Source organism: Homo sapiens, chromosome 9 (assembly GCF_000001405.40).
Source record: "Homo sapiens chromosome 9, GRCh38.p14 Primary Assembly".
NCBI classification, from domain to species: domain Eukaryota; kingdom Metazoa; phylum Chordata; class Mammalia; order Primates; family Hominidae; genus Homo; species Homo sapiens.
Window position 1 is genome coordinate 112,612,542 of NC_000009.12, and position 26,150 is coordinate 112,638,691.

Genomic DNA, 26,150 nt, shown 5'->3' on the forward strand with positions numbered 1-26,150 from the left:
AGATAACTAGTATGTACTTGAAAAAGCATTAAATCTTCTAAAAGAAATGCAAAATAAAATCATAATATATATTACAATTAAATAAGCAAAGATGAAGAGGTTTGATAATATATCTGGGAAGGTGTGATTGAAGCAGCACTCTTATGTCTTATCATGGGAGTATAAGTTAGTTCAACATATGTGCAGGGCGGTAGCAATATAGCAGTTCCACTTTTGGAAATTCATTCTATAGATATACTTGCCCATGCATGGGAAACGTTCTGTCTACAGGGATACCCATTGCAGTGTTGTTTGTAATAGCGACAGGATGCAAATAATGGAAATGCCTATCCGTAGGGAGTTAGGAAACTGGAAAAATTCTGTTATATCCATATATAATAGAATGCAGCTATTAGAAAGATTAAGGCAACTGTATACATAATGATATGGCGCTATCTCTAATACATAGTGGTAAGAAGCAGAGTATAGAATAGGATGTATAGTATGTTCCTCCCCCCCATTTTGAAAGGAAAAGAATAAGAAATGTAAAAACTTGAAAATTATATATAATCAACTGGTAACATTGGTTGTTGTGAAGAGGGAAACTTGGTAACAAAGGGTTGAGATGAGCAGGTGCCTTACTTTTACTCTATACCCATTTGTAGCTTTAGAAACTGTCCTATATGCTTGTATTGACTGTTCAAATTGTATTAATTAAAATCAAATGGATCATGATCCTTATTGAAAAAAATCTTAATTTCTATCTCAGAACATATAGGTGGATATTTTGGTAAATGGCAGATCAAAAATACGCAAGTCAGTTCTAGGTGGATGGCAGATCAAAATGTGAAAAGTGAAACAGTAAAGCTTTTGGAAGAAATGGAAAAATCTTTCATAACCTTGGAATAAGCAAAATGTCTTCAACAGGAGGCAAAAAGCATGAATCATAAGGGAAATAAATTGATAAATTGGACCATATAAAATTAGGAATTCTTGTTTATTAAAATATCATTAAAAAATGAAAAGGCAAGCCACAGATTGGAGAAGATATTTGTAATAAATATAACAAACATTCATATCTAGAATATGTTAAAAACCTTCTACAAACAGAAAAAAGCAGACAATCCAGTAGATAAATGGACAAAATATTTGAACGGGCACTTCATGAAAGAGGATATCCCAATGAAAATTAAAACCACACTGGAGTACCACTACATGCCCAGAATGGTTAAAGTAAGAAAGGTTAACAGTATTTAGTGTTGCTGAAGATAATGGAGCACCTTTTCCTCATGGTGGGGAAAGTAAATTGATATGACCACTTTGGTAAATTGTCTTTAGTATTATGGCTGAATGCATGATTTCCTGTGACCCAGCAATTCCACTCCTACGTATATACCCAAGAGAGATGCATGCACATGACCACCAAAAGGCACCCACTAGAATGTTATGGCAGTTTTATTGGAAATAGCCAAAAACTGAAAACTAATAGAATGCAATGTCCAGTAGAATGGAAAAATAAATTATAATATATTCACACAATGGAATGTTGTGCAGCAATGAGGATAAATTATCTACAAATACACAACAGTATGGATGAAGTTCACAAACCATAATGTTGAGCAAAAGAAGTCAGACACAAAAGAGTTTACGTTCTAAGAGTCCATTCATATGTGTTACAATAATAGGCCAAACAAAACTATGATGTTTCAAGTCAGGAGAGCGGGTTTTCTTGGTGAGAGCAAGTGACTGGAAGAAGAGGACATGAGAAAGGCTTCTCGGGTGCTGGTGATATTCTTTTTCTTAATCTGGGCACTGGATTCACAGGTGTATTCAATTTGTGAAAATTAATCACATGCACTTAATGACTAGTCTATTTCATTGTATGTATGTTACACCTATTAAAAAGATTTTAAAAGGAATGGGTCAGAAAAATTTCTAAAACTAGAGGTAAATGCAGACAGTTGTAATAGTTTTGTATTTTATTATCAGTCTTCTCTAGTCTTACTTGATTTTGTTATTAACTAAAAAACTTATTCCTATTACTTGACTTTAAAACTATTTCTTTCCCTCTTACTCATGTAAAATCAATGATGGTGTCTTTACCCTTTCAACCTCTTCATGTAGCTCATTCCTGGCTATTAGGAAAGGATATGACAGTGTGACATTTGTCTTTAGTTTTATTTTCCTGCAGATGGAATGGCTGTTTGTCAACTAAGATTGAGGCCCAGTAGAAAAGAGGGAAAGGCTTGGCTGAAGATGAGTTGAAAAGGTGTGAATGTGTCAGTCATCTTTGTGTATGTTAGCATGGTGCTGAAATGTGGAGGAGATACAGAAGTAGGAGAGCTTCACTCGGGACTGTGGCAGGTGACAACATCCACACCAGCATTCTGGACCCTTCCGTGGTTGTCTTCACCAGTTCCACTAATAGCAGACTGACTAATGCTGCTTAATTAAATCCAACAGACTTAAACTTTTTTGCTTACATATCCCTTAAAAGAACTTTGAATAGTCTTTACCACTCACTTTTAAATTGACACCCAAAGGTTTTTCAATATGTTTCAATCAATTTACTTTTGTAAAAAAGGAGTAGTGAATATTTTATAAAAATGAAGAGGAGGAGGCCGGGCATGGTGGCTCATGCCTGTAATCCCAGCACTTTGGGAGGCAAGACGGGCAGATCACCTGAGGTCAGGAGTTCAAGACCAGCCTGGCCAACATGGTGAAACCGCATCTCTACAAAAATACAAAAATTAGCCAGGCATGATGGCGGGTGCCTGTAATCCCAGCTGCTTGAGAGGCTGAGGCAGGAGAATAGCTTGAACCTAGAAGGCGGAGGTTGCAGTGAGCCAAGATCATGCCATTGCACTCCAGCCTGGGTGACAGAGCAAGGCTCCGTCTCAAAAAAAAAAAAAAAAAGAGGAGCAACTCTACCTAGAATCAGTATTTCATGATATGATTTGATAATATTAAATACCTTGTGAATAAAAAGCACACTGAATCATCTGAAAGAAATTAATAAAATTTTAAGCTGCTACTTTATCTTGAGCTTTTTGGTAGTTCTGCAGAATATTCTAGTTCTAGTTAGAAGAATCAGCCTCACTAACATATAACCCCTTCATATGTCCTAAATTCAGAACACCCCATTCAGGCCCCAAACACTGTTTCTCATGGTAGATTTCATCTTTGTCAAAATATGCATAAGACAGGAAATGCTATGGGTTTACTTATTTAAAGACAGGAAATGCTAATGGGTAAAAGTCAAGGTCTTTCGACTTTGAGGAGCCAAACAAAATTTATAAGTCAATACACCCCAGAGTATGTACCGTAGTAGGTTTGGGATGGCAACATGTACAACTCAGTTTACATCTCAGACAAGAAAGTTTTTAAAAGATCCCATGTGAAAGTTGGAAACCTGGAAATTTTTCTCCCAAAGTTGTCTGTGACTGTTTATTTCTTAGAAAATCTTTGTTTGAAGTTAGAAGACTGCTGTGATAGATATTTGAACAAGTAACCAAGAAAAACAGATGTGCTGGCCCCTTTGGCTTTCCATTGTAAACAGTCAAGGAAGCCAGCATGTCAAATGGTTACATTCAACCTGTGGCTTCCATGTTTTTGATGGAAAGATAAACACCTTTATTGTTAATAGATAAACAGTTTCAACTGGAAGAAAATAGCATGACTAAAAGTTAAGTGTATTGGAGCATAAAGCTTACTTTTGTATATTTGAATTTTGGAAATGTGATCCCTCAAAAATGTGCCTATAAAAATAGCTAACTAGTTTTGTGAATTTTAGTTTATATCATTTTATAAAGTTATGTGGATTTTGGCAATAATGCCCCATGATTGTCATTTTAAAATAGCATGGCTATTCATATATATGTATAGTAATACAAAAAGTAGTATGTAAATAAAATTCAGTTTATTAGAAATTTTATCATTGGATGTGGTAATTAGAAAGACTTCCGCTAAGCAGTCTTACAAGTTAATATAACTTTTTCTAGATAACATAATTAAGATAAACAAAATACTTTTACTTTATACTGTAGAAATCAGAAATTACATATTTTATGTTGTTTGAAATTAACCTCTGTGTTTGCCTCTCAACAATCAATAGCGTAGCCTGTTTCTGTTTTTTATTTCTATGCCTTCTTTAGGGTTTCTCTTTTGAGTTTCACCAGACCATGTCTAACATAATAGTGGTGATTTTTGACAAAATATTTTATTGTTAATGTTAAGATCCTAAATTTAAATTACATTTTACTGAAATGAAACCATGTAAATGATGTAATTGAACTTAACTATTATTTTAAAATTGGTGAAAATAGAGTAAGATTTCCTGCCTAGGACACAAGCACTAGAACTTTGTTTCTCAAAATATATTCTCTCAAACCTCATCATGAACACAGAGATGCTGGTTAAGATACAGATTCCTACACCTGCTACGTGGTAATCTGCATTTTGATCAAGCATCCTGGATGATTCTGAAGCACAGCAATCTGTGAAGACAGCTATTCTAGGGCAGCATTACTTAACCTTGGATGATCCAAAACAGAAAGAGGCACCTCAAGTCCTTGGTAGCAGAGTACAAATAATAAAGTAATAAAAAGAAACAGTGGATCCTGGAGACATACCCCCTTTTTTACATCTTGACTATAATAGCCTAATTCAAATGTAACTGTCCTGTCTTTATAGCTATGATGTTTTATCCTCATTACCCTCCAAAATACCAAATATTTCCATTCATCACTTATTACAAATGCCCTGCAATTACATGCAGAATGCTTATAAACTGTGTTTACCCAAATTGCTGTAGAACAAGTATTTAATTAACTGCCATAAAAGATCTGCTTTGTCATTTTTAAATACAGATTTTTAGTGATGTGTTAAAATAACAAATACAGATATTTTAGTTTAATTCAATAAAATGGAACCAGTACAACCTCTGTTTTCACAAATGAAGTGATTCGGAATGAGTTTGTCAGCGCTAATGGGGCTCTTGCACGCTGCAGTAGGATAAATAGCACATTTCTGTCCCACATTTTTCCTAAAACGAAGGCTGTCTCTAATCTCTCTCTTTCGACAAACCTTCATGCACTAAACTATGTGCCCGTGACATAGGAAGCTCGTTTTGCTTGTAATGGGCCATATGCTTGTCTAGTAGATCTTTTGTGAAACTGAAGTTGGCTATTATAATGTGACAGGTATGTAAATAACATTTATCAGTGATCTCCGTAAAACTGATTCCTCCTTTCCCTTGTCATTATAAAAGGAAACTTTATTTCAGAGTAGAAAGTGCATTGTCTGAACTCATCAACACCCTCTCTATCCCTCCCCCCCCAATTTGTTGCAGACCAGGATGAAAGAGCAGCTGAGCTCAGCAGGGAGCAGAACGAGAAAACCATCCGGAGCACGCAGACCGCGCTCCGCAATTTCCGTGAGTTCCTCATCTCCAAGTATCCTTCTGAAACAAGAGAGATTTATGTCATCCCTTGCAAGGAGTTGGATGCCTACCTTGCCTCTTTCTTTGTTGATGCCAGGCAGAAGGATGGGTCCGAATACGAACCCAACAGCTTGGCCAATTACCAGTGTGGGCTCGAAAGGTACCTGAAAGAACACAGGTATGGCTATAGCATCACCAGGGATAAGGAATTCAAGCGTTCCCAAGAGGCCCTGAAGCAGAAGCAAATTGAACTCCGCTGTAAAGGAAAAGGAAATAAGCCACACAAGTCCATGAAGCTCACCTTTGCTGACGAGCTCATCCTGCGGAAAAGGGGACTGCTAAGCCGATATAACCCCGAGGGTTTGCTCAACCTAGTCTGGCTCAACAACACAAAAGCTTTTGGGCATTGCACAGGCTTCCATGGATCTACCTTAAAATGGGGTGATATCCGGCTCCGGGTAACAGAGACGGGTCTCGAGTACTTGGAGTGGATGGGTCAGGACACTGGAGACTTGAATGCCAAAACCAAGAGAGGGGGGACAGACTCCCGTGTGTATGCCACCCAGCACGCCCCACAGACCTGCCCTGTCCAGGACTATAAGGAGTATGCCCAGCGGCGGCCTCCCGCCATGCGCTACGAGGATGCCCCTTTCTACTTATCCATCAAGCCAGTCGTGAACCTGGCGGCTCTGCATTGGTACAACTGCCAGGCCCTTGGCAAGAACAAGCTGGCCAAGATGGTGAAGACCATGTGTGAGAAGGGCAACATCCCTGGCAGGAAAACCAACTTCAGTGTGTATCAGAGCTGCAGCACCTTGTCTGAGGCCCAGAGCAACCAGCTCGTGCTGATCTGTAACAATCTGAGCCAGCAGGCTGCCCAGTCAGTGGCCGGCCACTCCAACAATGGCAATTTCATCGTCTCCGCCTCCTATGACTCTTCCTCAGACACCGCTTGACCAGGTGGCTTGAGCAAGACTCCAGTTTGGTTACTGTGTCCGGAGAAACTGTGATTATACACCGCTTCTCGTTCCCCTTCCTGTGCCCTCAGTGTTAATTCACTTTATAAAAATATAAATATATAATATATTTTTCTTTTTACAAATAAGCCAATGGAGATAATTTAGTATTACTAACATAGTATTTATAGGCTTAAGACAAATGTACTTGTGGGCGATCAAATGTAATTACTGTTACAGACTTTACAAAACCATACGTGGTTCTCAGGCAACACAAAGTAGAGAGGGAATTCTGTTTTTTAAAAACTGTCAAAAAGGAAATTGAGAGTCATCCTAGACTTAACATGCTTGCGTCCTCAACTCCTGCTTTTCGTTCCCACCCCAACTCCCCTTTTTTGTCTCCTTAATAAATGGCTTTATTTTTTTAATTTTTAAAATTCTATATTAATCAAGAGGAGACATTAACTTTACTGCTGACGCAAAACTGTATTCAGCTAGATCCACAATATGAAAATGTATAAGCTCAACATCAAATTATTTACATCTTCTCTTTTTTAACTTAATTAGAGTTTTAGCTCCTGTGCCTCATTTTTTACAATGTATGAGAATCTAGATGTTTAGCTAACATCTTTTCTTTTTGGGGGGAAAGGGTAGAAGGAGGGAATAAAGGTGCCATTCTTTTTGGGAGATACATGATTTTAAAATAATACCCAAAGTCTAATATTTTGGCTAAAAAGACTGTTACATAGCTCATTTTAACTATTGTGCTTGAACCTGGAAAGAATGTTTCTTTTTTTGTCCCTAAGAAATGGGTATAAATGAAGTTTGACAGGAAATTTAAAGCTACCAAAGCTTTGAAAATGTTGCCAAGCATTAGATTGCCTATAAAGAAGGTAAAAGGTGGAAAGTCTTACTAAAAATCTAGAAGCAGTAGTCGAGACAACAAAAAAACTCATCCTCTTCAAAGTTCATATTCCCTGAATTATTTACTTAGAAGCATTAAACAGTCTCTTTTCTCCTGAGGCAAGGGTGTGTATTCGACTCTGTGATTGAGATCCAAGGAATATTGGCACTCATTTTAGGTAACAATATTTTGTTACCAGATTTTGCTGAATTCAAAGCATTCTTGAAAATGTGCGAGATTTTTCTATAGTAAATATAAATGCGTTTATCTGTGATATCCTGCAATTATTATAATAATTTTGGTTAAACATTTGTGGCAGTTTTTCCAAGGTCTTTGTTTTCAAGTCTTGATGCCTGTGGTGAATTATTAGTTAAGATATTTCAAAAATAAAATAAATTTAGACTTTAGAGCCACAATAAAGCTGAGCTAGGTTCCTATTCTGTATAATCAGCAACACACAGAAACTCCAAATCTTGATTGTTTTGTTGGACCCGTGAATTCTATTGGGAAATATTTGTTCTTCAAGGCAACCTCATAATTCACATTAGCTAGAAAGGTAGGTGGTATTTTGTACATTAATTTAGTGTATAACCAGGACAAATTTCATTCTGAATTGCTTTGCTAAATCATCACAGAGCTGAGCTCTCCCATGGTCAGGGAACTCCTTCCAACACCAAGTCATAAGCACATAAAGACCCGTTCCTCTAAGCTGTGACCTTTCATCTGGCTAAGGAGTGGGAAGTCAGCCATGGACTTTGTGTCGTGGAGTTAACCTCATGTTCATGACTTTTCCTCCATAGAGAAATATTCATTTATACATCCAGAAACAAGAAGAAAGGGCAGAGAATGTCTTGCTTTATGTTTTTGTATTGATAGTGATGAGAGCTGCCATTTTTGAGCCAGCATGCATGCCAGCACTGTGCTAAGTGACTTACATGGATCACATATGTAAGTCATAGTTACTAATCTTAAAAAAAAAGAAAAAAAAAATAGGAAAACACAGATAAGGATAAAGAAAACAAAATACGTACTCGTAAGTCTTCTAGCCAAAGATAACTACTGTTAACATTTTGGCAAATATTTCTTCAGACATATTGCAGTACTTACATATTTATTTCTATATATATTAATATTTTCAGCAACTTTGAAAAGGTGAGTTATCTTTATTTTATGGTCAGGTCAAGATAAGTCAATTAGGTCATAGCTAAAGAAATGGTAGTCTGTCATTTCATTCCAGAGTTTTTTTCTATTTAAGTTTCTCAGTACCAGCTCATCATTAATTTCCAGTGGTTTGATCCAGAGCTGGGGACACAGTGTCTTAACATCTCTGAAGGATGTCTGATCAAAAGGAATGCTGAGTAATCTTCCATGGTGGCAGCATGTCCTCTAGTCCTCTCCCACACCCATACATTTGGAGCCACAGAGCCTCTTTCTCCCAGTTCTCTTTACAAAACCTTCCTGTTCGCCTTATTCTATAGTTAGTCCTTACGGCATCAGACAGCCTACTTTAAGGGAACTCTTAAACTCTAATGTTTAAAAAAAGGTCTCTGTAAAACACTTAAAATGTTATGGTGCATTTAATTTTTAATTGACGTAGTTTCTAAATTTTTGATATGTTTCTGACAGCACAGTAAGTTTGTCTTAAGGAAGAAGAGTAGTCAGTATGCACTGTGAAAGCAGAACTAGAAAATGTCAGTTCCCTATCTGTGTTTATTAAGGTACTAAAATGAAAATCTTTGTCCTGCTTAATCATATTGCATCTTCATTTAGAAAAACACAAATTGGGAATGTGAATTATTTTTATTTATTTATATTTTTCTGTGATAACTCAAGCCAAATAGGAGCATTGTGACTTTTAGTTTCAGAAAACTGTTTTCTGAATGATGGCTTGGTAGAAGCCTAGCCAAATTACAGTATCAGTCTTTGTTTGTTTGTTTGTTTGAACAGAGACAGGGTCTTGCTCTGTCACCCAGGCTGGAGTGCAGAGGTGCAGTCATAGCTCACTGTCAACCTCAAACTCCAGGGCTCAAGAGATCCTCCCACCTCAGCCTCCCAAATAGCTGGAACTACAAGTGCACACCATCACACTTGGCTAATTTTTTGTAGAGATGGGGTCTCACTGTGTTGCCCAGGCTGGTCTCGAACTCCTAGCCTCAAGAGATCCTCCTGCCTTGGCCTCCCAAAGTGCTGGCGTTATCTCTTGGAGTTACTTACATTATGAAAAATCTACAACTACCTCTAAATTTTATTTTTATCTAAATGATACTGAGAAGATAGCACTGCCAGATGCCATTTTTATTATTTGGAATATTAACTTAAGAAAAAATCATGTTCATGCTGTGGCAGAGGCAGATGTCAAAATTGCATATATACTTTAGCAAAAAATCAACAGTCCAGGAGATGTTCACTACAACTGAATGCGCTGCCTTTTCAGGCAATCCTGTGGCTCAAATAAAGCCATATTTGCAGTGCTTACACTTTAAGATCAATGTAATGTCATGTAAGAAACCCTCCAGTGTTCCTCACATGACTGAAAGTTTTGCACTGTCTACAACAAAAACACTGAACACTGTCAGCATTTGGATGACATAGCTGCATAATTTGGTCTTTCTACCATATTCATGTGAGTGACTCTTGAAAACCATAGATGCTAGCTATTTTTAAAAAAACTATAATGTTTGAAAAAGTTAAGAGATAGGATATTTATTCAAGACAGCTTATTCTAGATTCCATTTGATATCATGGTTATTAGGGCTGGTCTGAATATGACTTATAAATATATATCAGCAATTTAGGATATTTATAATTATTTTTCCCTATGGTTAAATTTTCCCTATGTTAAATCACTGCCTGTTCTACAAAAGAGTAGTCTGAAAATCTTCTGGCATACATTTGATCTCTTTGGTTTTTCAGTTAGATTATTATTAGCTGAAACTTTCATAGCATTTACTTGACTAAATCATATGGCTTAGCTTGCAGATGCCATGAAATCAATGACTTTATTGAGATGAGAATTTGTAGTCACATCAACAGTATTTATTGAACAGCTAGGGGCCAAACCTGGAGGGGTATAAAGACACATGAAATAGTCCCTGCTCTCAAAGAATTTATAAAAGACATTGTAATAAAAGTTAGTTCATTTTTGAGAGCCCAGCAAAAAACTCTATGCTAATACTATTTTGCATAGTTTTCCAAACTTTGTACCCATGCAATTTATCCATTATTTATTCATTGAATATGTTGGTCTGCTGTGGAATACGTAATTCTGCTTTGAGTATTTTCTGGAGAATCTTTCTTAGAGCCTGTTTTAAAATCAATAAAGTGAAGGCATTTCTGTACCATCCACTGTGTTCATGTAGGTGCACATATGCATCAGAGTGTACAGATCTGTCATCAATGACTATCACCTCTTGAGCACTGACAATGTGCCATTGTACTGAGTGCTTTATAAGTTGTTTCACTTAATTCTCACAATAGTCCCATTAGGTAAGTATTATTATTTCCCTTTTATAATTGAGGAAATCCAGAAAAGTCAAATGGCTTGCCCATGTCACAGTTAATATGTAAGAGCATCCGTATCTGAAATTAGATCCAGATCCCATTAAGCACTCTCTTTTTCTGCTGTAGCTACTTGTTCAAGAAGTGATTTGCTGTGCTTCTGTAGACCCTCTGAAGTTATAAATTATAAATGAAATCCCAGGTGTACTAAAATCATCAAATTAATTCAACTCATTGATTGAGATCAATGTTAGCACAACATTATTTAGGCGTCATTACTGTAGTATTTTGAGATGAGATATTAAGCAGTTTGTTTATCCCTGGTTACCAGCAGAGAGCAGAAGTTTGTGTCACTCTAAAAAACACCTAACTTTGTCATGGAGGCAAGTGTGTATATGTGTATAATTTATTTTTACCCCAATTAAAGCCAAAACCCCAATTTCAAGAGAGTCCTTTATAATTCAGGCAGGGAAGTGGGAGGGTCTAGGCAGAGGGACTGCCTATAAGCCAGTATCGATTGCCATTGACCAGATACTAAATATGAATTAGAGGTAGACTGTGAACCTATTCAGATTTTTTCTGGTTCGACTATCTGCAGTTTAATGTGAGACAGACACTTCTGATCTTAATCAGCCCTCTTCTGACTGATTTTCTTTATCTATAGGAAAGGTATATTTTGATCCTTATTTCTCTAGCCAAAATAAAGCTGTAATACTAAGCACCTGTAAATAAAAACTCTCTCCCAGATGACAGAAGAAATAGATACCTAAGCCTAGGGAGGAAAGTCAAGGGGAATGTATAATTTCTTGGAGCAAGATATCTTTTAAAGCGTTCATTAAAAAATAGTTACAAGTACTGAAAGAATTAGCAAGTTCTCTATCAGCTTAATAAATGTTTCCCAAATAGAATTCTATTATACAAGATATGTCTCTGTACATCTACCATACAATATGGTACAGATAGGCAGTGATCAATTAAGAAATGCACATTGGCAAGGGCATCCTCAATCGTTGTTTAGTGCATGGTATTCAAACATTGCTTTCCCTTCCCACTTGGATCTGGTTAACATGATATTGAGTGCATAGCCTTTCATAAAGCAAAGTGATGAAGCTAGGATAATTTTAGAGATCCTTGCCATCAAATAGAACTGGAATAAAGAAATACATTGCAGATATCATTCTTTTGGGAGTTGGTGTATTTCTAGTGATATAACAACAGAAAAGAAGAGATGATATTGATGGAGTACCAAGAACTCTAATTTTACTTTTCTAAACAGAAAAGGAAGACATTTAAAATTCCTCATGGTCCAGCCTGTTTGTAAATTGACCAGTTGGGCCTGCCAAAGCTGAGCAAAAGCTTGAAAAATTTTTTTTAATGGCATTTTAATACACTTACGTTGAGTTCTTATGTAAACAATGACTTTTGTGAATTAGAACCAGAGTATTAATTAGGTCAGAGTCCCAGTTTGATTAGAATATTAATTAGGTCTGTGTGTTAATGTAAACCATTGTCTTTGTTGTATTATTAGTCATAGAGGCTAGATCTGGAAAGGACCCAAGAGATCATCTAGCCCAGTGATTTTCAATGCTGTGAAGAGTAGGAGTCACCACGTCCTCATGTAGGTAGGGAGTGGGGAGCGCAAGAAGATAGAAATAGCCAAGAGAACACAACCTCAAACAAATTCCCCAGAGGTCTCATGTTTCCTACCCCCTCCCCTCCTTTGAGACTCACTAGACTGACTGAGCTGCTGTTCCCTCTGGAATGCATCCTTCAGGTGTGCTAGCTGGAAAATAAAATTGGAAACATTTAATCTACCTTTTAATGTATTTATTTGTTTTTCGAGACAGGGTCTCGCTCTGTTGTCCAGGCTGGAGTGCAGTGGCACAATCAAGACTCACTGCAGTGGCACTGCAGCCTTGAACTCCTGGGCTCAAGCAATCCTCCCAACTCAACCTCCCAAGTAGCTGGGACTCCCGGTTCATACCATCCTGCCTGACTAATTTTTAAAAATTTTTTGTAGACATGGGATCTCACTGTGTTGCCCAGGCTGGTCTCAAACTCCTGGACTCAAGTGATCCCCCCACCTCAGCCTCCCAAAGTGCTAGAATTACAGGCATGAGCCACTGCTCTGTCCTCATCCACCCTTTAACAAAAGAGGCAATAGCCCCAGAGAAAGGAGGTGAATGCCCAGGTGCTCACACCCTGTTAGGGTGTGAGCTTTCCCTTGTCAGGGTTAAAGCCGGGACTAGAGGCAGGCACCCTGACTTCCTGTCCACAGGTAGAGTTTAGAGAGGAAAAACAACCCTATATTTCTACTTCTTGTTTTCCAAATTTTAATTGTTTTTAAAACCCACAAATTTCTCTTAGGAGTAGATTCAAGCTGCCAAGTTCCAATAGGCTGTTCTTGAATGTGACATTTCACTTTTCATTGTGTTGTGTTACATCTTAGTTTTAGCAACTTTTCTTTTTGGAGTTTGATAGGAAAATCTGTAAATGTAATTGTTCTTTGATTCTAACAAACATCTCTCAGCCTACCCAATTTATATTTAGTTTTCAGTTATGGAGGGGAAACTACAGTCTTCAAGAATATCAATTCTAGTTATAGATTATGAACAAAAATACATTTTTGTTTAATTTGATATTCACTTGGATATCGAGCTACATAGCATCTATACTACTGGTTCTGAATGCAACCCACAGTATTTTTTAGTCTGGCAAGTTTTACAAATCGTATTTAAAGTTTTGGGACATATCCTCAGTCAAAAGGATCAAATTTCTATCAACATAATTAGGAAGTTTCTGAAGTAAATTTATTTAGAGATAGTAAAGGGGAAAAATGGTAACTAAGGAAAGAGGCCTACAGTAAGTAGATGTAGAAATTCAAACTTACTTAAATGCAAATTATTTGTATTTCTCATCTTGCTTACTCTTCTGAAAAGGAACTCAAGCATAAATATTTAAACGTTTCACAAATTTTTATTTTACAAATCATATTTACCAGATCATAGTTGAAAAAGTTCAAATTTTAGATGTTTTTTAAAAAGGTACAGTGTGATTTGTCTTTTTTTTGTAATGTTGAATTATGTTAGACTTCTAATGTTTGTCTTGATATTACACTGGAATTAGACAGCATTTTTACCATTTATACATTCATTTCAATAAGAGCTTTGAAAATGCTTTGGCATTGTTTGTTTGTGATAAGTAGAATTAGGAAGATATCAGCAATATAGATTCCTAACAGTAATTGTGTATACTGTGTTTTAGTGATTTTTATGTCCATTTATTTTCTGTAATTCTTTTATAAATCCCTTAGTGTACTTCCACTAGAAATTAATTTATAATTGTTTATTTATATTGGATGAAGTAGGAGGTCCATGTTTAGTATTAACCCACTCAGATTAACTTTATCTAACTGAACTTTTATATCTATAACCCATTAGATTGTTACAACTTTTTAAACAGCATTTATAATGAAATAACTTTTGTTTTATAAAGCATTTGTTACAAAAAAAAAAAAACACCTTGCCAAAAATCATTACGATTTCTATGCATTGTGTAATATTCAGTGATGTTGAGATTTTGCATGTTGTTACAGGTGCTCTTTCATATGTGTGTTTGTGGTGTTGATGTGGAATTGTTAACCACTGCTGCTATCACTTATTGTAGTTAAACTGAAAAACTGTGTTAAAAGGCTGTGCCAGTCAACATTTCTATGTGTGACTTAAGTAACTGTGTACTTCATTGTTTAATATTTTGAGCCAGCACTTAGTGGCCTCTACAGAAGGAAATATTGTAGTTGTCAAAGTGGTGCCAAACTTGAAAATCTTGTGTCATGTTTATAATTCCAGGCCAGGTCAGCTTTTCTTCAACACTTTCCGAGCTCTTTGAAAGCAAAAAACATTTGCAAAAAGAGAAAGAAAGCAAGAATTCTGAACTTTTCTAATACTCTCTCCTCTAGAATTTTAAATATTTTTTTCTTTTGATGTTTGAGTATCTTACAGAAAAATCCAATCAAATGACTAGCGGTAGAATTTCCCTTGATCTGGATATTTTTAGGCTGAACAGTGTAATAGCAGAGGACTATGAGGTGCATACATTATTTTTGTTGGCTATCATGGCTTATTGTTTGAATTTCATTTAATAACAATATTCAGGCTGGAGGTGGTGACTCACACCTGCATTCCCAGCACTTTGGGAGACTGAGGCGGGCGGATCACCTGAGATCAGGAGTTCGAGGCCAGCCTGGCCAACATGACGAAGCCCAGTCTCTACTAAAAATACAAAAATTAGCTGGGTGTGGTGGCTCACACCTGTAATCCCAGCTACTTGGGAGGCTGAGGCAGGAGCATTGCTTGAGCCTGGGAGGTGGAGGTTGTAGTGATCTGAGATCACACTACTGCACTCCAGCCTGGGTGAGGGAGCAAGGCTCCAACCCCCCTAAAAAGAAAAAAAGAATATTCAGTAATTTTATTTCCTTTATTAAGAACCATTGAAACCTCACAGTTCCCACTTGTTAACTTTTACATTCAGCATGTACACAGACTTACTTAACATACTTGGTTGCCTTATGGCCATCAGGATTTTTTCATGCCCACCTGTCTAGTTTGGTACCTGGTGTTTCCATCTTGCCTCAGCAATTCCAAACAAACTGAAAGTAAAGAGAAAATCGTTTCAACATATTGACTCTACTACACATTGTTAAAATTTAATATGGGAGGAATACCACTATACTTTTATTTATACTCTTAAAATGAGTGGGGGGAAGCTGTCATAAAGTGTTAAGAAAAGAAGGCTGCTTCCTGAAGAGCCTTTTTACACCAACATGCCAGATCTCCACACTTGATGCAGGGTTTCCTTCTGTCAGTTCAATGGGCTTGTAATTACAAGATTCTTTTAATAAAGGGGTAATCTCCTGAACTTTATAGAAACTTGTTGTGTGACTGTCACATATGCAGCAACAGCCAATGCTGTATTTGGACACATTGCTGATGAAATTACTGATTTAATTCTAAGACTATCAAAACTAATTCGTCAAGGTCCCCACCACCTCTTTGCTTAAAGGAAAACAAAGGCAGATTTTAACTGTGAGCCTCTTCTCTAGAATATGCTGTAGACATTTGCCCCTCCGTGAGGTGATAAAGCAATAAAAATAAATTTAATTATGTGTGGTCTAAAGAAGTTCTACCTCTGTCCATTGGCCTCCAGAGTCACACAAAATTATTTCTTGATTCCTACATCAGAGGTTTTCAGGCAGAGCCTTTGTACCAAGAATTCCTTTTATATTTTGGACACCAAAGATTATGGCATGATATATCCTGATGATTAACAATTTAGCAGTGGGCACATTTATTTGAGTCCTGCTCTTGGATTTATTTCCCACCTTTGGGTCTTACGTACATTTTGTATTTCTGTCCTGAGGACTTTTTGCCTCAGGCAGTTTTTAAATCAAAAAAATATATATATATTTATTAGGTTTCTAATTTATAGAGTTTCCAATTTCTCCCACAATTTTAAATGTTTTCACTGCCAAAGTTAGCAGTAGATTTGCTAGGTTAATGCCATGGTCAGTAATAGTTTGTACCTTTTATGTTGTAGCCTGAAAATGTAACTCTAACCCCGTAGGCCTGAAACCTGGTGGGAAGATGATTGAAAGTGTTTTAGATTCAACAGATTGACTATGTATGACTTATCTATTAAAATGAAGAACTTCCATGGTTTAATAGAATGAATGCTGTATTCAACAAGGTCTTCCATCCTTCTTATAAATCTTAAGACTGTGTTTAAGCTTTCTTTCACTTTTACTCTATCCCTTGGAAGTTAATTGGGAATAAAAAGATTTATCAATTTAGTCACTATAATTTAAGGCCAGGCATCTGCTTGGAAATACAATAACCACAATTAATACTTAGAGAAAATTGTTTCAACAGATTAACTCTGCTATTTTAAAAACTATAGTAGTGTTCTTTGAGGATGCATTTACTTTTCCCCAAATTTGATAGATAGTTATTTTTATATATTTTTTCTGGCCACTTGGCTTCTAACTGATTAACATGAAAAACGCACGTGTGCCTGTTTCACTCAAATCATATTTTACAACTTTTTAAAAGCTGCTACAGTTATAGTTTGTGAAAGAGGAGAAAGGTGAATTGCAACAGAGGGAAATTACTGTTACTGTGTCAAATATGTGACTGATGCTTTTGGTCAGATAATCTGCTGCCTGTCAATATTTGTAATAACAGAATTTTTTGTTAAGAGTACTCTCATCTTTATTTTGCTGCTCACTGATTTTTTACACTAAGATGTTCTCATCTTTGTCGACTCACTGTTTTTGCTTCATATTTGTCTGTGTACTTGTGCTCTAAATAAAAATCTAGTTTTATGTCTAGTTTATTCCATTGTGTGTATAATGTTTGCCTCTGATGTAGTGTAATTTTCTATTGTTTTTGATGTTTGTTGGTACAGCCTAAAACTTATGGAAATAAGAAAAGCAATCCAATAAAGTCAGCTAATGAGTGTCAACAGTGTCTCTATAATGAGAGCATGCTTGAGTCACAGTGTTTTGTCTGTATTTGGGCATGATGACCAGTCTTCATTCATTTAATGAATTGTCTTCTGCAAAGCTGGCTGATTTTTGTAGCTACAACAAACAAGTTAAACCACGTTTTGAAAAACATGTTGTTGACCTGGACATTGTGCACTGGCCTCAGGATATACAGTCAATGCAGATGAGCCAAGCAGCCCATGTGCAGTGTTTCTCACCACTGAAGTTGGGGGGAAGCCCTGGAAGGGGAAGCATTGCGCATGTGACTGTGCCAACACAGATCATAGGGTAGCAACAATCCTTTAGTAAAGGATCTACAGTTGAATTAATCGTAGGCTTCCTGGAGCCCCAAGCCTGAAAATCCTGTTAATAGAAAAGAAAGCCCTGCTGCAAACAATTAACTCACTTGTTTTTGTGTGGAGCTCTGTTGGCCATTTTTCTTTACCTCCAGTAATCCCCTTGTCAGACACTTCTTAAATAGGTGCAAAATTATACTAAGCTGCGGCCGGGCACAGTGGCAAATGCCTGTAATTCCAGCACTTTGGAAGGCCAAGGCAGGAGGATCGCTTGAAGCTGGGAGTTTTGAGACCAGCCTGGACAACAAAGGGAGACTTTCTATTTTAAAAAATAATTTAAAAATTTTTTAAATTATACCAAGCTAAGGAGATACCGTGTTCTAAAATTAACTTATTTTTAAGAGAATCATTTTAGTCAGATATAATTCTCCATGTACCATTTATTACCTTTAGCACATATTACAGTGTTCTTTGAGCCGAATAGGAATGGTTCTCCAAAATTATTAAGTTGGTTAACTTCAGACACATTTTTTGTGTCACTAAAATCATTTAATAATGAAAAAACATGTTAAAACATCTGAAAATACAACATCTCTCATACAAAATTACTTTGCAGAAATGCAAATGTTTTTCTTTCATGGCTGAATAGTCCACCAGTCTTTACTCACAGTTGAATATTCCAAATAGAAACAATGACCGTATTTTTGTATGATGATAGATTATATAAAATTACAGGTAGTTACACCTTTATATTTTCATAGTATTTAAACGAGGAACTCATCTTTAAGTGTGCTTGCAAGTTTTACACTTAAAATGTGACAAATTTTATTTCCTTGCTAGGGAAAGAATATTAGAATTCAAGTTGAGTAGTAACTACAAATCAAATAATGTTTTCCTTTTTAAAAGTCTTATTTATTTTCAATTTATTCATATCTTTTTGAAGAGGATTTGATGTGACTAAAATGGCTAATATGTATAAAACTCTTAATGTTGGTGATATATCATCTCAAAAGATAATTTTAAAAGCAAACACTGAATTTGATGGCAAACATGTTTAGACTGAACCATCAAATAAAAAAATGGAAGGCCAGGTGTGGTGGCTCATACCTGCAGTCCCGGCACTTTGGGAGGCCAAGGCAGTAGGATCACTTGAGCCCAGGGGTTCAAGACCAGCCTAGGCAGGCAGCATAGTGAGACCCCATCTCTACAAAAATTTTAAAATTAGTCTAGTCTGGTGGTGCGCACCTGTGGTCCCAGATGCTAGAGAGGCTGAGGCAAGAGGATTGTTTGAGCCCAGGAAAGGAGATAGGGAATGCAGCAAGCTGTGATTACGCCACTGCACTCCAGCCTGGGGAATAGAGCAAGAGCCTCTCTCAAAGAAAAAAAAAAAAAAAAAAAAAAGGAAGTAAAACCACCATTTGCTTTGTTAAGATTTATAATGCTTTAAAAATGCTAAGGCAGTAAGTAGACATTTATTATTAATAATTGATAAATAGTAATATCAAATCAGAAATAAAAATTACAGGACTCATTACCTATAGATAAGAACGTTTAACTTTTGATGTTTGATTTTGGACTGCTTCCTTACAAAAATATACTTCAAAAACTAATCTAGCTGTAGTTACCATTTTGTATGTTTGTAAAAGATCTTTAGTTTTTGAAAGTAGATTTTTATGTAGCTACACATTTTTCCATTGCACAGATGTGCCAAAATCTATTTTATAGTGCTGTTGTTAGATTGGATTTGTTTCCAGTTTTTTGCTTTTATAACTTTGGCTTAAAGAACATCCTTGAGGATACATTTTTGCATACTTCTCTGATGAAATCCTTAGGATACATTTCTAAAAGAGGAATTCCTGGGCTAAATAAAAAGAACATTTTATTTATTTTTCTTATATATACATTTCCAAAGTCCTATTGATTTTTATAACTTGCAAATATAATATGTTCATGTTGCAAAACTTTAAGTCCCATGGAGCTAATCACTAACCAATGTGATGTGTCTCCTTCCAAATTTTTTCTACATAATTATAAATCGTTTTATTTTTCATATAAAAATTGGAATTTTGCTATGCATATTGTCCTAGAGTGAATTTTTCTTTTTAAATTAATATATTGCAGAACTGTTTTCATGTTAGCATGTAGAAGGGTAACACAATTTTTAATGACCACATGTAAATATATATATATATATGCACAATTATTTAATTATTCATCTCCTAATGGGTTTTGGTGATCATCTTTGTTCATTTATCTTTGCACACTTGTGTATTTCTGCATTTAGTCAAAATTACCCACCAAAAAGTTGTACTGATGTAGACATCATTCAGTATTGGCTGAGAATGCAAGCTCCCAGCAGCCTGGCCAACATTTAGATATGGACCTTTTTGTATTTTTGATAATCTGGCAAATGAAATATATCTCATTTTAATTATAATGCCTATTTTTTAATGCATTTTGTTATTTGTATTTGTTCTGTGAATAATTGCCTGTCATATCCTGGGCCCTTTTGCTAGCGAGTTATTTTTCCTTTTGGTTTGTAGGAGCTTTTCATATGTCCTTGGTTTATGTTTTATAAGTATTTTCTCCAGTTATGTTTATTGTCTTTTGAAATTTGTTCAGTGCAGGATTTTCCAAATTTTTTCGCATGTAATCATCTATATTTTATACCTTCTGTGTTGTGTTGTGCTGAGAAAGACTTTCTTTCCTCAATCCCCAAATCATGAAAATCTGTCTTCTTTATGGAAACAGCCTTTTTTTTTTTTTTTAAAAAAAGAGCCATTTAGATATGTGGATTTTGTGTGTGTTATGAAACAGGTACCTAAATTTGCTTTTGTTTTTGCTTTTCCAGCTCAACCAATTATACCATTTATTGAAGAATCCATCTTTCCCCAACAATTTGAATTAGAGTCTTTATTATACCCTCACTTGGCATACTTGCAGACCTTTTCTGGATTCTCTTCTGTAGCAATGATCTATTTGTCTATTTCTTACAAATACTAACTTACAAATAGTAATTTACAATTTAAATTACAGTGGTGTTATGATACTTTTTTTTTTTTTTAGGGCAACTCCTCCCAATTATATTTGAAATTGCCTTCCTTTTCTTACATGTTTACTTTCTTAAACTTCAGAAACACCCTAACAAGTAACAACAGAAAAGGGGGGATTTTAATTAGAATTACATTTACTTAAAGATTACTTAAAGAAATTAAATATCTTTATAATATTGAGTCTTCCCATCTAGGTTCATGGTATAACTCTTAATTTATTAGGTTTGCATACACATTTTTAAAGGAATTTTTAAGGATTTTTTAATGTTTTCTTATTGAATTATACAATACTTATTGAAGTACTTATTATACTTACTGAAGTATAGCTTGATTAATTTTTATGACGCTAATATATTGCTGTAACCACCACCTGGAGGGAGACATAGAATATTACCCGAACCCTAGGAGCTTCCCTCATGTGCCCTCCCTTACCTCCCTAAGGTAATCACTGACTTCACCATAGAGTCATTTTATCTGGTTTTTAATTACATAAATGAACCCTTTCAATATACTCTTCCGTGTCTGGCTTCTTTTGCTTAACATTATGTTTGTGGGATTCTTCCATGCTTTTGTATACAGTTCACTCCAGTAGTCCACTCCTTGTCACTATCATATAATAATTCATTGTATAAATATTTTATAATTTTATATGCATACCATTGTTTATGGGGTCCTAGGGTTATTTCCAGTTTGAGGCCATTTATTATTTGTTGTACTATTATGCTTTTATGAATATTCATACATTCATGATATGTACACGTTTCTGTTGGGTATATATTTAGGTGTAGGATTACTGAGTCATAGAATTGGTGTGTGTTCAACTGTAGTAGATACTGTCTATATTAGTGTCCAAAGTGGTTGCACAAATCAATGCTTGTACCAACTTAGCAAGAGTGTTCCTGTTGCTCCATATCTTCACTATCACTTGATATTTGCAAATTTCGTTTTCCATTTTAGACATTTCAGTGAGTGTATTTTATGTTTCCTGGAATATTAATATTTCTATGCAAGGCCCATTCAAATTTTGTCCTTTTTTTGGGATGGAGTTTTGCTCTTGTTGCCCAAGCTGGAGTGCAGTGGCGCAATCTCGGCTCCCTGCAACCTCTACTTCCTGGGTTCAAGCGATTCTCCTGCCTCAGCCTCCCGAGTAGCTGGGATTACAGGCGCACACCACCATGCCCGGCTAATTTTTTTGTATTTTTAGTAGAGACGGGGTTTCACCATATTAGCCAGGCTGGTCTTGAACTCCTGACCTCAAGTGATCCGCCAGCCTTGGCCTCCCAAAGTGCTGGGATTACAGGCGTGAGCCACCGCGACTGGCCGTTTTGTCCATTTTTAATTGGACTATCTCCCTTCTAAATGATTTTTTTCCTTTTTAAAAAATTTTTAAGTTCGAGGGTACATGGGCAGGTTTGTTACGTAGGTAAACTTGTGTCATGGGGGTTTGTCCTTCTAAATGATTTTTCAGATAAATGTACCACAACATCTTCTGCCACTGTGTGGCTTGCCTTTTCACCTCTTAATGCTGCATTGTGATAAATGTCTGTTTTTCATTTTAGTGGAATTCTGTTTATCCACTTTTTACTTTTGGGGTAGTGATTTTGATCAATCTTTTACTTTAGGGGTAGTGATTTTGATGTCCTATTTAGAAGTGTGTAATTATCCCATGGTCATAAAGCTGGTCTCCTGTGTTTCCTTCCTTCCTTTATTGTTTTATCAGTCACATTTAAGTCATGATCCATTTGGAATTTTTTTTTGTTTATGATGTGAGGTAGGAATTCCGTTTTCTCATAGTGTGTTGAAGATGTTTGTGTTTATGAGCTCAGTTGGCCTATAATTTTCTTTTATTGTATTATTCTTGGCTTATTTTTATATAAAAGTTATGCAGTCCTATAAAAGAAGTGAGTGTTCCCTCTTTTTCTGTTCACTAGCAGAGTTTGGCAGTTGGAAGAATTTACTGGTGAAACCCATCTGAACCTGAAGTTTTATTTTGAGATTCTTTATTTTGTGTGTGTGTGTGTGTGTGTGTGTGTGTGTGTGTGTGTGTGTGTGTGTGTTTTGAGACAGGGTCTGGCTTTGTCACTGAGGCTGGAGTGCAGTGGTGCAATCTCGGTTCACTACAACCTCTGCCTCCCAGGCTTAAGCCATCCTCTCACCTCAGCCTCCAAGTAGCTGAGACCAGAGATGCATGCCACCACACCTGCCTAATTTTTTTGTAAGTTTTGTAGAGACAGAGTTTTGCCATGTCACCCACACTGGTCTCAAACTCCTCAGCTCAAGTTATCCGCCTGCCTTGGCCTCCCAAACTGTTGGGATTACAGGCGTGAGCCACCTCATCTGGCCTCCATTTCTCTAATGGGTATAAGACTTTTCAAACTTTCTTTCTTACCCAGTTTTGGTGAGTTGTGGCTTTTCTAGATATTTGTCCATTTTATCCAAATTTTCAAATTGATTGACATAATCAAGTTGTTCATAGTATCTTTTTACTGTCTTTTTACTATTTGTAGGATCTATAGTGATAATTAACATGTTTTTCATTTCTGGTGCAATAATTTGTGCCTTCTCTCTTCTTCTTGCTAGTTTATTAGTCTTTTCAAATCCGTCTCTTACATTACTTTTTATTATAAATTTCTTTCCCATTTTATTGATTTATGTTCTTAATTGTAGTGTTTCCTTCCTTCTACTTTTTTGGATAGATTTCTTGTTCTTCTAAATTTCTTGGTACAGTTGATACTCACCTTTTCTTCTTTTGTAGCCTATGCACTAAATCGTATTATTTTCTGTTTAGGCAATAACTGCATCCCACAACTTTGATATGTATTGTCATTATCATTCAGTTGGAAATATTTTCTAATTCTCATTGATTTTTTTTCTTTTACCAGAAAGAATTGTTTATTTTATATATATATATACTATACATATATCATATATATTTTTGTATTATATTAAATAATATACTTATTATTATTTAGGAATATATAATTGCTTGTCAAATTATCTTCTTGTAATTGATTTCCATTTTATTCTACTTATATTAGAGATCATATTCTGAATTATTTAATCCTTTGAAAAGTTGAGACTTGCTTTATGTCCCAGCATTTCTATGTTGGTAAAAGTGACATACAAACTTGAAGAAATGTGTATTCTGAAGTTGTGTGTGTTGTTCTTCTTTATGTATCAATTAAGTCCAGTTTGATATTTGCATTGTTCACATCTATATCTATACTGTTGTTTTGCTCCCTGTTTTGTCAGTTGTGGGAAAAGATGGGTTAAAATCTCTTAATCATAGATTTGCCTATTTCTCTTTAATTCTTTTAATTTTTGCTTTCTATATGTCTATAGGCATTGTTATCAGATCCATACAAAAATCTAGGATTGTTATATATACCTTCCTGTTGAATTTTAAAACCTCCCTCTTTATTTCTAGTAATACTTCTTGTCTTAGTCTGTTTTGTCTGTTAGTATATAGGTATACCAGCTTTCATTTGCTTATTGTTCCTATGGTATCACTTTTTTCAACCTTTTGCTTTGAATCTTTATGTTCTATTTGTTCTTATATGTAAGGTGTATTTTTCCCCCAGGAGAATATAGCTGAATATTGTTCCTTTGCCCAGCCTGACAACATTTATCTTTTAATTGGAATATCTATAATAATGGATATATTTATGTTTAGATCTATCATCTTACACTTTTTTGGTCCCATCTATTCTTTATGCCTTGTTTTTGATTAAACAAGTCTTTTTTATCCCATTTTCCTCCTCTGTTAACTTATAAGTTATACATTATTTTATTCTTATAGTGTTACCATACAGATGTAAACGTGCACTCTTGCATTATTAAGATCTACTTTAATTTTGTGTTTTCATCATTTTTTGGACAATGCAAGAACTTTTCAAAACTAGCTTCAGTTACCCTTATTTGTGTTATTATAATGTTAATTCTGTATATATTTAGAACCCCACAAGACGTCACTAGTATTGTTTTAAACAGCTTATTCGTTGAGAATCACCTACATATTCACACTTTCCAATATTCTTCATTCTTTTCTCATTAACTTGCTGCCATCTTTTTTCCTTTTGCCTGAACATCTGTCTTTATTTTTTAGCGCTTGACTGCTAACAATGAATTTGCTCATTATTTTGTGTGACTGCAGCTGCATTTTACCTTTATTTTTATTTTATTTTATTTTTTTAGATGGAGTTTCGCTCTTTTGCCCAGGCTGGAGTGAAGTGGCGCAATCTCAGCTCACTGCAACCTCCTCCAGTTTCAAGCGACTCTCCTGCCTCAGCCTCCTTAGTAACTGGGATTACAGGTGCCCGTGACCACGCCCGGCAGATTTTTGTATTTTTAGTAGAGATGGCTGTTCACCATGTTGGCCAGGCTGGTCTCGAACTCCAAACCTCGTGATCTGCCCACCTCGGCCTCCCAAAGTGCTGGGATTACAGGCATGAGCCACTGCACCTGGCCTTACCTTTATTTTTGAAGGATGCTTTGCTTAGTATAAATTTTAGACTTGTAGCAATTTTCTTTTAGCATACTAAAGATATCATCTGTTTTCTGGCTTCCATCATTTCAGTTGAAAAATCAGTCTGATGTTGTGCTGTATAAGGTAATTTGTCCTTTTTTTCCAGTTTCTTTTTAAACTTTCTCTTATGCTGGGCCAGGCGCGGTGGCTCACACCTGTAATCCCAACACTTTGGGAGGCCGAGGAGGGTGGATCACCTGAGGTCAGAAGTTCAAGACCAGCCTGGCCAACATGGCGAAACCTCGTCTCTAATAAAAATACAAAAATTAGCCAGGTGTGGTGCTGCCTGCCTGTGATTCCAGCTACTTGGGAGGCTGAGGCAGGAGAATCGCTTGAACCCAAGAGGCAAAGTTTGCAGTGAGCAGAGATCGTGCCACTGCACTCCAGCCTGGGCAACAGCGAGAGACTCCATCTCAAAAAAATAAACAAAAAATAAAATTTTCTCTTAATGTGGTGTTATGTGGGAAGTTGAAAAAGAAAAATAAAGAAGGCTGGGCACAGTGGATCACACCTATAATGTCAGGATTTTGGTAGGCTGAGGCAGGCAAATCGGTTGAAGCCAGAAATTGAGACCTCCCTGGGCAACATAGTGAGACCCCTGTCACTACAAAAAATGTAAAAATTAGCCAGGTGTTGTGCATGCAGGTAGTCCTAGCTACTCAGGAAGCTGAGGCAGGAAGATCTCTTGAACCCAGGAGCACGAGGCTGCAATGAGTGATAGCACCATTGGTGACTATCCAGCCTGGGTGACAGAGTGAGACCCTATCTCTAAAAAAAAAAGAAAAGAAAAAGAAAATTTTCTCTTTGACTTAGATTGTCAGCATTGTTATTCTACGTGCCTACATTTAGTTTTCCTTGTATTTATTTTGCTTGGTTAGGAAAGCTTCTGGAATCTGTAGACTGAGGTATTTTATTTTGGAAAATTCTCGACCAATATTTTTAAAATATTGCTACTTCC

The 26,150-nt window shown here is 36.0% G+C and overlaps 1 protein-coding gene across 4 annotated transcripts in view, besides 1 other annotated feature; it reads left to right on the forward strand.

The window, feature by feature from the left end:
* KIAA1958 overlaps nucleotides 1–26,150 on the forward strand; it is a 182,571-nt gene that overhangs the window by 125,715 nt on the left and 30,706 nt on the right. The window contains exon 3 of one of the 4 annotated variants that reach the window (NM_001287036.2): nucleotides 5,330–5,413. The exons of 2 other annotated variants lie outside the window; for them this stretch is intronic. In NM_001287036.2, the coding sequence (NP_001273965.1) occupies nucleotides 5,330–5,413 (84 nt within the window). Of the gene's footprint in view, nucleotides 1–5,329; nucleotides 17,297–26,150 lie in introns of those variants that run through there. One more of the 4 variants, XM_011518311.3, reaches the window with a different exon arrangement.
* Nucleotides 6,007–6,589: an enhancer, noted in NCBI's record as "H3K27ac-H3K4me1 hESC enhancer chr9:115380828-115381410 (GRCh37/hg19 assembly coordinates)". NCBI's record gives its function as "activates a minimal SCP1, AML or CMV promoter by ChIP-STARR-seq in naive H9 embryonic stem cells {active_cell/tissue: H9 hESC(naive)}" and the evidence as "EXISTENCE:reporter gene assay evidence [ECO:0000049][PMID:30033119]".